Source organism: Homo sapiens, chromosome 5 (assembly GCF_000001405.40).
Source record: "Homo sapiens chromosome 5, GRCh38.p14 Primary Assembly".
NCBI classification, from domain to species: Eukaryota; Metazoa; Chordata; class Mammalia; order Primates; family Hominidae; genus Homo; species Homo sapiens.
In genome coordinates this window covers 157150258-157166918 of record NC_000005.10, presented here as the reverse complement: position 1 = coordinate 157166918, position 16661 = coordinate 157150258, and the positions used below count along the sequence as shown (strand labels likewise).

The 16661-nt window shown below is 42.1% G+C and overlaps 1 protein-coding gene across 1 annotated transcript; it reads left to right on the top strand.

Annotated features, from left to right (window-relative positions):
- The first annotated feature begins 654 nt into the window (after window positions 1-654).
- GARIN3 (golgi associated RAB2 interactor family member 3) lies at window positions 655-5073 on the top strand. The gene is made up of 2 exons (NM_130899.3): window positions 655-1356; window positions 3261-5073. The coding sequence occupies exons 1-2, from the start codon at window positions 751-753 to the stop codon at window positions 4470-4472; spliced, it is 1818 nt and encodes a 605-aa protein (NP_570969.2). The 5' UTR covers window positions 655-750; the 3' UTR covers window positions 4473-5073.
- Window positions 5074-16661: the final 11588 nt, after the last annotated feature.

Below are 16661 nucleotides of genomic sequence, written 5' to 3'. Positions count from 1 at the left end.
GATTGCACCACTGCACTCCAGCCTGGGTGACAAGAGTGAAACTCCATTAAAAAAAAAAAATTAACTGCTTCAAATGAGAGACTAGGTGAGAAAATCCTCCATATCCTGAAAATCAGCACACAGATGGAACCCTGGTTCTGTAGTTCTGATGGGGAGCAGGAGTCCCTTCAGACCATTCATTCAACACCTATCCCTGAGTGCCTGCTGGCACTGTGCTACCTACACACTGGAGACACAGAGATCAGCATCTAGACAGCACCCCTGCCCTTAGCAAGCACACCATACACACCCAGGATTTTACCCCCAGGAAGTAATTCAGCCCAAGCAAAAAAATTTTTGCAAGAAGATGATCCTTGAAGGGGTAACTGTAACAACAGCAAAACTGGAAACAACCCAGATATTTATAAAAGCAGAATGGTTCATAAATTATGTGTCCCAGCATTTTGATTGAAAAGAACACCCAGCCTACCCACACCTACACCCCAGGCAGGGTCAGCCTCTCCCCTGTGGAGGCATTGATTTGTTTTGTGGGGGAGGCTGGTGACACTGACCAGAGGGGATAGCTACATGGAGGCTAGGACAAAGGGGTGTGAGATGCGCACAGGTCACAAAGGACTGCAGGGGATAAATGTGGTGGTGCCAGGAGATTTAGGCAGAAGTCCTGTAGGGAGATGGGCAGTTACCTTCTCTCCGTCTCTCTCTCGGGGACTCTATTTGTGGCTGGTGGAGCTGTCTTAAACGAAGAGAACCATGAGCAATGAATCTTGTTTACCTTATTACACAGCCCACAGCTACTCTTCAATGAGTGCGTTCAAAACCTCCATGGGGGACCTGCAACGACAATTGTACAACAGAGGAGAGTACAACATTTTCAAGTATGCACCAATGTTCGAGAGTAATTTTATTCAGATAAACAAAAAGGGAGAGGTGATTGATGTACACAACCGTGTCCGAATGGTGACAGTGGGCATCGTCTGCACCAGCCCCATCCTCCCACTGCCTGACGTCATGGTTCTGGCCCAACCAACTAAAATCTGTGAACAGCATGTCAGATGGGGCCGGTTTGCCAAGGGGAGAGGTCGCAGGCCCGTCAAGACTCTAGAGCTCACGAGACTGCTTCCCTTGAAATTTGTGAAGATCTCCATCCACGATCATGAGAAACAGCAGCTGCGCCTGAAACTCGCCACTGGCCGTACTTTTTATCTGCAGTTGTGTCCCTCTTCTGACACACGGGAAGATCTCTTTTGCTATTGGGAAAAACTTGTCTATCTCCTGAGGCCACCAGTAGAGAGTTACTGCAGTACCCCAACACTTCTATCTGGGGACGCACCACCCGAAGACAACAAAAGCCTAGTGGTAAGCCTCTCAAAGGCTCGAGAACATGGGGCAGGTTCTTTGGGGGAGCAGTTCAAAGCCAGTCCTACAAAGCCTTTGGTGCCTTCTGAGGCCCACCTGGAAAAAGTATTGCATGTGCAAGGGCTCAGGACCAAATGAGCCACTACTAGGGGACTTACCACACTGGGAGGTGGGAGGGCTTGTGTGTCCCATAAGGCTGAATTTCAGAGACCTTAGGTATCAGCTACTCTGGTCTCACACCCAGGGTTGAAATCCTTTCTACACCATCCTGATCGTCAGTCTTTTCTTGAACACTTAATACCCCAACCCAGGTGGTCTGATTTGTTGTGGAACTTTTATTTGTATAAATTTAAGGGGTGTAGGTGTAGCTTTGTGTGTGTGACTATATTGCATACTGGTGAAGTCTGGGCTTTTAGTGTAACCATCATCTGAATAATATACATTGTACCCACTAAGTAATTTCCCATCCCTCACCCCCTCCAACCCTTCTGAGTCTCCAATGTGCAACTGGAGACTGTACAGATTTTTGTGCAATTTTTTTTTGAGACAGAGTTTCGCTCTTATCTCCCAGGCTGGAGTGCAATGGCACGATCTCGGCTCAATGCAACCTCTGCCTCCTGGGTTCAAGAGATTCTCCTGCCTCAGCCTCTGAGTAGCTGGGATTACAGGCACCTGCCACCACGTCCAACTAATTTTTATAATTTTTTTTTTTTTAGTGGAGATGAGGTTTCACTATCATCCACTAAAGTGCTGTGCCATATTTTTAACAATGAAGAAGTCTTTCTTCGATTTGAGTCACAGTCTGTCTCCCTGTGACTACCAGGCACTGATTTCTGTGTCAATCAGCACACCCTGTGTGTGTGTATGCACGTGCACAATCGTAGTAGTCACCAAAATGTAAAGTGAGTGTATCCCTTGACTGTGCAATCCCACTTCTGGAAATCTGTCCTGCAGAGCACGTAAAAATAAGTGTGTAAAATACAATGTCCAAGGATGAGGAATTGTATCAGTACTTTCTCTGGTACTGGAATTGCTCAACCAAAACTGAGTGACCATTGAAGGGGTGCTGTAGATGGAACTTGGCAAGAAATGAGAGCAAGACTTAGGCTTAGGCCGGGTGCGGTGGCTCATGCTTGTTAACCCAGCACTTTGAGAGGCCAAGGAAGGCGGCTCACCAGAGGTCAGGAGATCGACACCAGCCTGGCCAACATGGTGAAACCTCATCTCTACTAAATATACAAAAAAATTAGCCAGGTATGGTGGTGGGCGCCTGTAGTCCCAGCTATTCAAGAGGCTAAGGCAGGAGAATCCCTTGAACCTGGGAGGCGGAGATTGCAGTGAGCCAAGATCGTGCCACTGCACTCTAGCCTGGGCGACAGAGCAAGACTCTGTCTCAAAAAAAAAAAAAAAAAAAAAGACAAAAGACTTAGACTTAATGATTTTAGAGGTTCTCCTTCTCCTTCCTTTTTTCTTTTTTCTTTCTTTCTTTCTTTCTTTTTTTTAAACAGTGTCTCACTCTGTTGCCTAGGCTGGAGTGCAGTGGAGTGGCGCAGTCTTGGCTCACTGCAGCCTCTGCCTTCTGAGTTCAAGCGATACTCCTACCTCAGCCTACTGAGTAGCTGGGATTACAGGCATGCGCCATCCTGTCCAGCTAATTTTTTGTATTTTTAGTAGAGTCGGGGTTTTGCTATGTTGGCAAGGCTGGTCTTGAACTCCTGGCCTCAAGCGATCTGCCCTCCTTGGCCTCCCAAAGTGTTGGGATTACAGGCGTGAGCCACCACACCCGACCCAGGTTCTTCTAATTATAAGCCCTTGAATTAACTCCAGGATAAGAGAGGAGTAGAAAGTTCTGATCTCCCTTTCAGTCATCTCAATCTCATCTGTTTCTCTTCCCCTTGGTATAGGCTGCAGAGCTCCACAGAGAAGGGGATCAGAGTGAGACTGGGCTCTACAAGCCTTGTGATGTATCTGCAGCCACCTCTTCTGCTTATGCTGGGGGAGAGGGAATCCAACATGCCTCCCACGGAACGGCTAGTGCGGCTTCTCCATCCACGAGCACTCCAGGGGCTGCTGAAGGAGGAGCAGCAAGGACAGCAGGTGGCATGGCAGTGGCAGGAACAGCAACAGGACCTAGAACAGATGTGGCAATAGCAGGGGCAGCAATGAGTCCTGCAACAGGTGCTATGAGCATAGCAACAACCAAATCTGCAGGCCCAGGTCAAGTGACCACAGCGCTGGCGGGAGCAGCTATCAAAAATCCAGGAGAAAATGAATCCAGCAAGTCCATGGCAGGTGCTGCCAACATATCCTCAGAGGGTATTAGCTTGGCCTTGGTGGGTGCTGCAAGCACCTCCTTGGAAGGTACTTCCACCTCGATGGCGGGGGCCGCCAGTCTCTCCCAAGACAGCAGCTTGAGTGCGGCGTTTGCAGGCAGTATTACGACCAGCAAGTGTGCAGCAGAAAGAACTGAAGGACCAGCAGTGGGACCCCTCATCTCCACCTTGCAAAGCGAAGGCTACATGAGTGAACGAGATGGAAGCCAGAAAGTTTCCCAGCCCAGTGCTGAAGTCTGGAATGAAAACAAGGAAAGAAGAGAAAAGAAGGACAGACATCCCAGTAGGAAAAGTTCTCATCACCGCAAGGCAGGTGAAAGTCACCGCAGGAGAGCGGGGGACAAGAATCAGAAAGCGTCTTCCCACCGGTCCGCATCTGGCCATAAAAACACGAGAGATGACAAAAAAGAAAAAGGGTACAGCAACGTAAGGGGCAAGCGACATGGCTCCTCTCGCAAGAGCTCCACCCACAGCTCCACCAAAAAGGAGTCGAGAACAACTCAGGAACTGGGGAAGAACCAATCTGCATCTAGCACAGGAGCTTTACAAAAGAAAGCCAGTAAGATCAGCTCTTTTTTAAGGAGCCTCAGGGCCACTCCTGGTTCAAAAACAAGGGTCACATCACATGACAGAGAGGTAGATATCGTGGCTAAGATGGTGGAGAAGCAAAACATAGAGGCCAAAGTGGAGAAAGCCCAGGGTGGCCAGGAGCTGGAGATGATCAGTGGCACTATGACATCCGAGAAGACGGAGATGATCGTCTTTGAAACCAAATCCATTTAAAGAGGAGCCAGGGCTACAACCGCCCAGGGATCTGGAAGTATCCCTAGAGGAGCCCATCCCAGCTTTCTTTACTGCAGTTCAAATAATAAAGGAAATCGTACAACTCCAAAAGAAATACAATCTCCTGCTTGAATTTTTCTGCCCATAGCCTGGTGGTGACCTCACAGTGGCTTCTGTGATGGTGGCTATGCTACAGCTGGAGACCCCAGCCTCCAGGCAAGTAGAGCTCCACCACCCGCCCACGGCCAGCAGAGCCAACGTGAGTGTTCAGCTTTGCCTCAATCCCTTTTGCTTCCCCGAGACTGTCAAAGCCACAGACTAAGAGCTGGGATGCATGGCCACCACCATGTCCCCTCGCCCATTCTCCTCTTTTCCCTGAATGCCCCTGAACATGGACATTCAGTCCAGTTCTTAGCCTATGCAGAGACAGGATTCACATCCCCTCAGGGGATATTCAGGGTAGGAAGGAGCAATACAGCAGTATTTGTAGGCAATTAGAATAGGAAATCTATTCTTCTAGATCAGGAATTGGCAAATCATGTTCTGAGGTCCAAATCTTACCAGCTGCCTGGATTTGTAAATAAAGTTTTATTGGAACATAGTCACAGACTTTCCTTTGCATATTGCCTATGGCTGCTTTCACGCTAAAAATGACAGCTCTGAGTAGTGGCAATGGAGACCATATGGCCCACAGAATCTAAAATATTATCTGGGCCTTTAAGAAAATGTGTGCTGACTCTTGATCTAATCTTAACAAGTCTTCCTCCAAGGTGTAGACAGTGGAGAAATTCTCACATATGCTTACCAGTAGACAACTAGGAGAATGTTTACAGTAAAACAAGTTGTAATAGCAAAACCCTGGAAATTGCCCAAATGTTCATCAAACAGGAGAGTTAATAAATTGTGGAATGGACTACAGTGCATAATCTACAATAGTGAAAATGAATAGCAGCTATACATGTTAGCATTGATAAATGTTTATTTTTTATTTTTTTGAGACAGAGTCTCAGTTTGTTGCCCAGGCTGGAGTGCAGTGGGATAATCTTGGCTCACTGCAACCTTGGCTGCCCAGGCTCCAGTAATTCTCATGCCTCAACCTCCGGAGTAGCTGGGATTACAGGCATGCACCACCATGCCCAGCTAAATTTTTGTATTTTTACTAGAGACAAGGTTTTGCCATGTTGGCCAGGCTGGTCTCGAATTCTTGACCTCAAGCAATCCGTCCTCCTCGGCCTCCCAAAGTGCTGGGATCACAGGCATGAGCCACCATGTGTGGCTGGCATGGATAAATCTTACATAATGTGGGATACTAAAAGCAAGTCACAAAAATATATATGATATAGTTCAATTTGTAGAACAGCTCAAAAATAAGATTCAACAATGGGATATATATTTGCTAAAAGTATAGAGAAAAACAAGGAAATGATAATCACAAAATTAAGGATAGTGACTATCTATAGGATAAAGGGAGAGATGTCTGATCTGAGGGGCACACACAAGGAGTTTCAACAGAATAGTGATTATTCTATTTCTTAAAGAAGAGGTTGTATTCATGGGGTGTTGTTACTGTATCTTTATTTTAATATCTCTGAAATCAGGATTGTTTTTAAATCTGTCAGCAAGGTGTCAATTGCATGTCACTATCACTGCCTTAGAAATGCCCTAATCAATTTATTTCACCAATGTTTTCCTTTTTACACATACACATGACAGATTTATGACAGAATATCTAAGTCTGAAAGATCTTTCAATAAGCATGAAATAAAAATTCTAAGTGACATAAAAAGTATTCAGAAACACGGAAAAATGTTTAAATATATTAAGAAGTAAAATAGTCCAAAATGCTGTGTACTAACATGATGTAAATTATGTGTTCGTGTGCAAGTTAATTCCCAGAATAAAAAAATCACACTACATTAGAAATGGGATTATAAATTTTAAAAACCTTTACTGTAAAAAAAAATTGTCTTTCCGTTTTTAAAAAACCTGTAAAATGAGTCCATGGAAAACATTAAATTATTAACACCAAATAATAAAATTTGGATTTGAGAAAAATGATTCTGGGAGCCATGTAAGTCCAGGAGGGGAGCACCTGCCCAGCCTTGCAAGTCTTTGCTCATTCTCTGCAGCAGCAGTACCTTGGAGGACAGAAGTTGGGTTTCCGGCAAAACTTAGGGACCTTTTCTGAACACCAAATATGTGTAGCCAAGATGGAGGAGGTGAGAAGCGACGTATTCTGGGAGGAGCGGTGGCTTGTCAGTATCAGGGGAATCCCTTCTCAGTTGCTCTAGTGGGTGGCTGGAAAATCTCATCTTGTGATTTTTGATAAATACCATAGAGGCTGAGATTAAGATGTTCTGGGAGTTGACTCTTGAAACAGTGGGTACAGGTAGAAGGAGAGAGAAAGAGAGAGAGGCACATACTCTAAAGTCTGAGAGGGCCTTTGGGAAAGCCACCCGGGAATGTGAAAGGTTGGCAGGTGGGGTAGAGGAGAGAGATAAAAGGAAACTCCTTTCAAAGCCTTTGGTCTGGAGTTCCAGGTTTACAGCTATGCCAGAGTCTGAATTATCCTAGCTACAAACGGTTTAATCTCATAATTGTGTAGACTATGGCTTTATCTTTTGTCTTTCTTCTAGTCTTGTTTTATACACCCTCCCCTGTCTGAGGGCTTCTTCAGCATGAATATAGTTTATCCACCCAAATGCAATTTAAGTAAAGTAGAGATGGGGACTTGCCCACCACAGCGTGCTGTGCCATGCACTTTCTCTGCATTTCCTTTTCTATCTTGATACTTCATCAAGAGATAGATGCATAAATACCTATGTATTTCAAAGCAACAGGCCTCTTCCTCAGAGGGAGTTATCAATTGGGGCATCAAGTCAATACCCCTATCAGATAAAAGCCAATATTTTTAACGGCAATATTTGTCACCATGGTAACAATTCTGCTGCTGCAAGTGCAATGAGACAGTGGATGGTCGATTACTAACCAATGTTCCAAACTTAAAGTCTGGCATTACACACATAAGAACAAAGATGACAAAGCGATATTTTGCCAAAAGCAGTATAAGATCACTCATGCAGTTGTCATGTTAGGGTGGAGTCTTTGAAGCAGAGGAAACTGGTCTATGGTGAGAAGAAGCAAGGTGCCTCAAAATGTCAAATGCCATCATGGCTGGCAGGGCAAGAACGGAAGGCGAGATGCTAGAGGGAGCAGCAGGGGACAGACTGTGCAAGGCTTTGAGGTTCGCATATGCTACTTTGACTTCTGTCCTTAGTAATGAGAAGCCACTGAAACATTTTAAGTTGAGGAGTGACTTGATCAGATTTGTATTTTGTAAAGGTCACTGTAGTTGCTGTGAGAAAAAAATATTTGGGAAGGTAGTTGTTAATATGTGTCCTTATGTAATTCCTGTCTTTTGCTGCAGGATCTATAAAATGAGATTACAGGAGATGTTTTGAAAGACATGTTCCCATTAGAAATGTCCATGTGATGGCTGGGTGCTGTGGCTCATGGCTGTAATCCCAGCACTTTCGGAGGCTGAGGCTGGCGGATCACCTGAGGTAAGGAGTTCGAGACCAGCCTGGCCAACATGGTGAAACACTGTCTCTACTAAAAATACAAAAATTAGCCAGGCAGGTGGTGCATGCCTGTAATCCCAGCTACTCAGGAGGCTGAGGCAGTAGAATCTCTTGAACCTGGGAGGTGGAGGTTGCAGTGACCAAGATCGGCCATTGCACTCCAGCCTGGGTGGCAGAGCGGTACTCTGTCTCAAAGAAAAAAAAAAAAAAAGAAATATCCATGTGGGGTATACGTGGTGATGCACTATCAAGACCCTCCTTCAATGAAGGACTTGTGTCCTCAGTTGCTGAGAATGCTGCCGGCAGACAAGTTTCAGCTGGCAGTGAGTTTGGAAATTGTGCCAGTTGCAGAGATTTCTTTCACCCAATGTGATGCTCTTTCCAGAGCCCACATCAAGAACTGAGTGATGCAGAGTATGAAAGTCTGGCTGTCAGCCCAATACAGACCAAGTCTGAAGGGCTATTCTAGTTCCAGAGCTTCCTGAGGAGCCTGCATCAAAATTCACCTTCCTTCCCTGTGTACTCCTACTTCCACCCTTTTCCCTTCCACAGGTGCTGGTCCTAAGAGCACTCCTTAACAAACATCCTTCCCACAAAACTCTGTCTCAAAATCCGCTTCACAAAGAACACAACTTACAACACTATGTCAGTGTAATGCGCTGGGGTCACCTCCTTGAGACTTCACTAACCTTATGAAAAGTGTTGATGATAGCCAGGAAGGATATAACGTAGCATATACAATTTTGAATTTAAATAATTTTAAAACTAGGTATATTTGCTTACTGCCAAATTAATTGGTCTATTTTAGAAAATTCAAAACATGTAGAGATAAAAAAGGAAACAAATATTTAATTGATTGCTTCGATAATTCACTTCTTACTGCTTCCAGAAAGTTGGAGTAGACGTGTTTTTCTCTGTTCCTCCTGATCAGTACAACTAAAGATTTTGAACATTACATATAAAACAAACAGCAGAAGACTTGAAAGGTGGAAAGAAAGCTAGGAACTTCAGGAACTGAGGAACAACATGCTGGTTATTTCCCTGGGTTTTATGTTTGTTTGGTTAATTTTTGCCTCATATATTCCACAACCTGGAGGTGAAGAAGCTGGAACCACCTATACCAAAAAAATCCCAACAAAAAATATGATCAGGAAAAAATAAATAAATAAATAAATAAAATAAATAAATAAAGGGCCAGGACAGGGGCAGCCAAGAAAAGCAGAAAACTTTTACACAAACACAAACTTCAGCCAAACATCACAGAAAAGAAAAAAAAAAAAAAAGCTGTGGCCCCACCCTCACTCATGACAGCAAAGGCTGAGTTGGAGTTGAGATTAACATCCTCATGAGGCTATAACGAGGCCTCCTATACCCCAAGTGTGTAGTATCAGAGAATGCCAAGGAAGGAGCTTGGACTTTGACTTTCACTCCTGATAGCTGGTAATGAAGCCCTTCCCTCCTCTTCCCTGTGCTAGTGGTGTCCATATGGGGAGTTGGAACTCCCACCCTTGCCCAGTAGTCATGGTAAGTCCACCCTGGGGGCCAAGTAGGGAACCTGAACTGCTATAGAAGTAACGAGGTGGCACACCCCCTCCCCATCTCCTGCTGGAGTAGAGTCATAAGAAGCCTGTTGAAAGTAAATTTAAATAAGATTCAGAGTCTCCCAATGAATAAATGTCCAGACTTAAACCAAAAATCACGAGTCACACCAAGAAATAGGAAAATTCAAAATGGAATGAAAAGAGACAAACTATAGGTGACAATATCAAAAAGACAGAGATGTTAAGTTAATATCATAAAAATTTTAAGGCGTCCATGAAAACGGAGTTAGGAATGTGCTTGGAACAAATGAAAGAAATAGAAATCCTCAGCAAAGAATAAAAAAACTTCAACAAAGAAAAAGAAGATGAAAAAGAAGAACCAAATGAAAATTTTAGAACTAAAACTATAATAGCTGAAGAAAAAAGCTCAGTGGTTGGGCTGAACTGCAGAATGGAGGAGAAGAGAAAAAAATCAGTGAACTGAAAGAGGATAATAGAAACTACCCAATCTAAACAACATAGAAAATAGTGATTAGAAGAAAAATAAAGCCTCAAGGCCTTGTGGGACTATAACAAAAGATCTAACGTTGTGTCACTGGAGTCCTAGAAAGAGAGAAGAAGGGGTAAGTTTGAAGAAATAGTGATTGAAAGCCGTCAAATTTGGCAAAAGACATAAATCTACAGATTGAAGAAGGTGAAATAACACCAAATAGGGTGAACTCAGAGAAATCCATGCTAAGACAAAGCACAATTAAATTCTGAAAACAAACAAACAAAAAATGTTGCCAAGGTGGGAAGATCACTTGAGCCCAGGAGTTTGAGAACAGCCTGGGCAACATAGGGAGAACCCGTTTCTAAATTTTTTTTTTTTAAATTAGCTAGGCATGGTGGTTCACACTTGTAGTCCCAGCTACGCAGGAGGCTGAGTTGGGAGGACTGCTTGAGCCTGGGAGGCTGAGGCTGCAATGAACTGTGATCGTACCACTGCACACCAGCCTGTGAAACAGAGAAACACCCTGTCGCAAAAAAAAAAAAAAAAAAAAAATTTTTTTTGTTTAAGTAGCTACAGAAAAATGGTGTAATATCTACAGGGGAAAACAACTCAAATGACAGTGGATTTCTTATCAGAAACCATGGAAAACAGAAGTAAGTGGCACATTGTTTTTCATGTGCTGAAAGAAAAGAGTTGAAAACCCAGAATCCCATCCCAGCAAATTAATACTTCAAGAATAATGGGAAAATCAAGACATCATCAGTTGAAGGAAAACAAAATTTGTCATCAGTACGCCTATCCTACAAGAATGGCTAAAGGAAGTTCTGTAAACAGTAAGGAAATGATTTATAAAAAGTAGGGAGAGATTGTGGAAGATAAAGAAGAAAGAACATGGTAAGCAAAAATATGGGAAAACACAGTAGATTTTTCTTCTCTTGCATTTTCTAAGTTATGTTTGACAGTTTAAGCTGTCTGATGGGATTAAAATTTTGTAAAGGAAGTATCTAAGGCCACTATATTATAAATGTGGGAGAGTAAAGGGATAGAAAGGGAGGTAAGTTTTCCATATTTCACTCAAACTAGTAAAATGACGCGATAGATTGTAAAAAAGTTATGTATACATAATAGAATACCTACAGCAATCACTAAAAAAGCTAAAAAGAAGATATACTCAAAAACACTATAGATAAACCAGAACAGAATTTCAAAAACTGCTCAAGTAAACCACAGGAAAGCAGGAAAATAAAATAGAAACAAAAACACAGAGAACATAAAGCGAAAAATAAAATGGCATACATAAGCCCTGACATATTAATAATCACGTTAAATGTAAATGGTCTAAATACACCAATTAAAAGACATTGGCAGAGTGAACAAAAAAGCATGACCTAACTACATGCTGTCAACAAAAGCTCCCTACAAATATAACGACATAGGCATTTTGAAAGTAAAACAATGAAGAAAGATACATTACAAAAACATTAATCAAAGTGAACCAGAAATAGCTATATTAATATAAGATAGACTGAAGAGCAGAGAAAATTACCACAGAGTGGCATAATGACAAAAAGGATATTAAAGGGAACAAGAAGACATAGCAATTCTAAAAGTGTTTCAACCAATTATAAGAGCTGCAAAATATGTATAGTAAGAACTGGTAGAACCGAAAGTAATAAACAAAACCAAATTTGTAGTTTGAGACCTCCACACCCCTCTCTCAAAAATTTAAAGAACAATTAAACAGAGAATTGGTAAGTATACAGAAGACATCAGTAACACTATCAACTAACAAGATTTAATCAAAATTAATAGAACACTCCATTCAACAACAGCAGAATACACATTCTCATCAAGATACCACAGAACGTATACCAAGATCAGGACAACATCCTGGGCCATAAAAGAAACTTCAACAACTTTAAAAGAATTGAAATAATATAATGTGTTTTCTGACCACAGTGGAATCAAACTAGAAATCAATAACAGAAAGGTAACAGGAAAATCTCCACTTAGAACTGTGTTGTTAGAATCTAAGAGGTCAAAGAGGGTCAAAATGGTAGTCTTAAGGGAAATAAAAATTACATTGAATTGGCAGGGCACAGTGGCTCATGTCTATAATTCCAGCACTTTGGGAGGTTGAGACAAGAGGTTTGCTTGAGCCTAGGATTTCAAAGTAGCAATGAGCTATGATTATGCCGCTGTACTCCAGGCTGGGCAACAGAGTGAGACTCCAGAAATAAAATAGAAATAGAAATCATATCAAAACGTGTGGGATACAGGTAAGTAAAGGAACTAGCACTGTATGCATACACTTTCTAGAAAAGACAAAGGGGTTTTTTTCTTTTTATTTCTTTCTTTTTTTTTTTTTTTTGTTTGAGACAGGGTCTTGCTCTGTCACCCAGGCTGGAGTGCAGTGGCACAATCTTGGCTCACATAAACGTCAATCTCTCAGGCTCAAGCAATCCTCCCACCTAAGCCTTCTGAGTAGCTGAGACTACAAGCATGCGCCACCACACCTGGCCAATTTTTGTATTTTTAGTAGAGATGGGGTTTTGCCATGTGGGCCAGGCTGGTCTCGAACTCCTGACCTCAGGTGATCTGCCCATCTCAGCCTCCCAAAGTGCTGGGATTGCAGGCGTCAGCCACTGCACCTGGCCTAGGCTCACACCTTATTTAAAAAAATGAACTCAAAATAGATCACTGACTTACTTTAAAAAACAGAAAACTATAAAACTTTTAGGAAAGAAACATGGGGGATAATCTTTGGGAACTAGGACTAGGAAAAGAGTTATTAAACTCAACACCAAAAGTATAACTAGTAAAGGGAAATATTGATAAACTAGACTCCTTCAAAATTAAAAACTTTCACTCTATGAATGACCCGGGGAAAAGAATAAAAACAAGCTAAAAACTGGAGCAAATATTTGCAAACTTTATATTCCACAAAGGACTAGTATGTAGAATATATAAGGAACTCTCAAAATTCAACATTAAAAAAAACAAACAGTCCAATTAGAAAATGGGGAAAAGATATCAAATTTTTATCAGAGGATATACAGATAGTACATAAGCCCATGAGAAAATATTCAGCATCATTAGTCATTAGGGAAATGCACATTAAAACCACAATGGTTTAATACTATACACATATAGATAATACTATAACCATATTAGAATGATTAAAACAAAAATAATAAATAAGGAACAACACCAAATTATGATGTAAAACCAGAGAAACTATACCACCCACACATTTCTAGTGGGCATGTAAAGAAAGCCAATGAGGAAAACAGTCTGGTAGTTTTTTTTTTTTTTTTTTTTTTTTTGAGACAGAGTCTCAATGTGTTCCCCAGGCTGGAGTGTAGTGGCGTGATCTCAGCTCACTGCAACCTCCGCCTCTTGGGTTCAAGTGATTCTCCTGCCTCAGCCTCCCGAGTAGCTGGGATTACAGGCATGTGCCACCATGCACAGCTAATTTTTTAAATTTTAGTAGAGACAGGGGGTTTCACCATATTGGCCAGGTGGGTCTCAAACTCCTGACTTCCAGCTACTCAGGAAGCTGAGGTGGGAGGATCATCAGAGCCTGAGATGTTGGGGCTGCAGTGAGGCATGATCACACCACCGCACTTCAGCCTGGGTGAAATAGTAAGACCCTGTCTCAAAAAATAATAATAAATATTTTAAAGTTACCCACGAATGACGGTGCACACCTGTAGTCTCAGTTACCCAGGAGAAGGAGGTAGGAGAATGCTTGAGCCCAGGAGTTTGAGGCTACAGTGAACTATGATTGTGCCACTGCCTGGGCAACAGAGTGAGACTATGAATCTAAAACATGAAATAAAACAAAACAAACAAAAAACTCCCAAACAAACAAAAGATAATGATATCCAGGGGTTTGGTGAGAGGGAGGACATGCCAGAGCACAAGGGATTTTTATGGCAGTGAAACTTTGTCTATGGTACCATAATGGTGAATACGTGTCATCATATATTGTCAAACCCATAGTGTATAACACCAAGAGTGAAGACCAGTGTGAACTATGGACTTCAGGTACTAATGATGCGTCAATGTCAGCTCATCAAAATCAAATGAACCACTCTGGTGCAGGATGTCGATGACAGTGGAGGCTGTGAGTGTGTGGGGGGAGCGGGTATATAGGAACTCTTTATACTTTCCACTCAGCTTTGCTGTTAACCTAAAACTGCTCTAAAGAATAGTCTATTTAAAAAGTAAAGTAGAGTGGTTGGCTGGGCACGGTGGCTCACGCCTGTAATCCCAGCACTTTGGAAGGCTGAGGTGGGCAGATCCCTTGAGTCCAGGAGTTCAAGGCTAGCCTGGGCAACGTGATAAAACCCCGTCTCTATTATAAGTATGTTTTTATTGGCTGGGCATGGTGGCTCATGCATATAAACCCAGTACTTTGGGAGGCCAAGGTGGGAGGATCATGTGAGGTCAGGAGTTCGAGACCAGCCTGGCCAACATGGTGAAATCCCATCTCTACTAAAAATACAAAAATTAGCTGGGTGTGGTGGCAGGCACCTGTAATCCCAGCTACTTGGGAAGCTGAGGCAGAAGAATTGCTTGAATCCAGAAGCTGAGATCGTGCCATTGCTCTCCAGCCTGGGTGACAGAGCGAGACTCCATTTCAAAAAAAAAAAAAAAGTTTTTAATTATAGGAAAAGGGAAGAAGGTAGACTGGTTGTGGAATTACAGGGCATCTTTTTAACCCCTTGGAAGAAAAGTTTTGTTCCCTCATCAGACATGACTCTTCAAATGCGCTTTGAAATCTGTGAGATTGCTTTCTCTAATTTGTATGTAATCAACAATAAATACATAGGGAGATAATAACAGTACTAATCAATATCAAATCTCAAAGAAATTTGGAGATTATATGATTCAGTGTTTGTCAAACTTTTGCACATATTGTTCTTTTTAAAAAATTAAAAATATAAAATCATAAATGGAACTTAGTAAACAAAAGAGATGAAGGTGAGGGTCCTCTGGCTGAAAGTAGGGGTAGAGTGGGCAGCCTGAAGCCCCACCAGCTTGGCTCCCCTTTGCCTCAGGGGACACCTGGAATGCATTTCCGTGACTTGGAGGCCACTGGTTTGACCTGAGATTCTCACTTTACTGAGAATAATGTGTCTTGCTTGAGGTTACCTATCTGACTGGTTGAAATCAGGTCTATGGAATCTCAGGCCAGACTCTTTTCCATTCTGCTTTACCCTGATTGATTTGGGGGGATTCTCAGGTTAACACATGTTGGAAGACAAACTGGGACTCAGGTGTCAGAGGTGGTGGAAGATGATAAGGAGACAAAGGAAAGGAGACTAGAAGGAAGATAGTCAAATTCTGTGCAATACATAGACTGGAGACTGAATGGGGTAAAGAAACCCACAGGGGTCAGAATTCATAAAATCTGTCTCTGTCAGAAGCCCAGGTTCTAAGAGAAGTTCATCTTGGACCTGAAGCAGGGTGGAATCAAGTGGGTAAAGACTTTCCCAGATAACTGTAGGGAAGTAGCACCTGGACTTGCCATGGTTTGGGCCACTGTGACTGCAGCACCTAGGAAAGTAGCTGGCATGTAGTAAGTGAGCAATAAATATTGGGTGAATGCCACCCTGGGGAACATGGCAAAACCCTGTCTCTACAAGAAATATCCAAATAGCTGGGCGTGTTGGCACATGCCAGTAGTCACAGCTACTCGGGAGGCTGAGGTAGGAGAATCACTTGAGCCTGGGAGGCAGAGGTTGCAGTGAGCTGAGATCCTGCCACTGCACTACAGCCTGGGCGACAGAGTGAGACCCTTTCTCAAAATATTTATTTCCTAATAAATACATCCATTCGCCAAAGATATATAATATATAAAAATACAGAATATATAATTATATAAATACATTATATATAATATAAAATATATAATACATAATATATAATTTATATAATATATAAATATATTGTATTTTTGTAATGTATATTTTAATATACATTACAAATCTATATTAAAATATATATGATATATAATATATATATTGGGGGTGAATAAATGCATCATTAAACTTTAAAATCCTGTCTAAGAGGGCACTACCACCCATACCCTCGGGAAAATAATTCTGGCCTTTTACAGTTTCATGAAAAACCTCTCTTCTCTAAATGGTGGTATGTGAACTACTAATCCTGTCTTTATTTAAACTGTAATATTTTGGCTGGGAGTGGTGGCTCATACTTGTAATCCCAGCACTTTGGGAGGCCGAGGCAGGCGGATCACCTGAGGTTGGGAGTTCGAGACCAGCCTGACCAACATGGAGAAACCCCGTCTCTACTAAAAATACAAAATTAGTCGGGAATGGTGGCGCATGCCTGTAATTCTAGCTACTCGAGAGGCTGAAGCAGGAGAATCACTTGAACCAAGGAGGTGGAAGTTGCGAGAGCTGAAAAGAAATTGTAATATTTTGTAGATCATGAGTTTTTCCCTTAATTTTTTAATTTAAAATATTGTGTTAAGATATTATTTATCTTTTTTTTTTTTTTGAGACGGAGTTTTGCTCTTGTTGCCCAGGCTGGAGTGCAATGG

What these genes read in the sequence shown, in the direction of transcription:
- GARIN3 (NM_130899.3), top strand. Translation starts at nt 751, where the DNA reads ATGAGCAATGAATCTTGTTTACCTTATTACACAGCCCACAGCTACTCT. An exon ending in AAGACAACAAAAGCCTAGTG is followed by an intron (nt 1,357 to 3,260) that starts GTAAGCCTCTCA and finishes CCCTTGGTATAG; the next exon opens with GCTGCAGAGCTCCACAGAGA.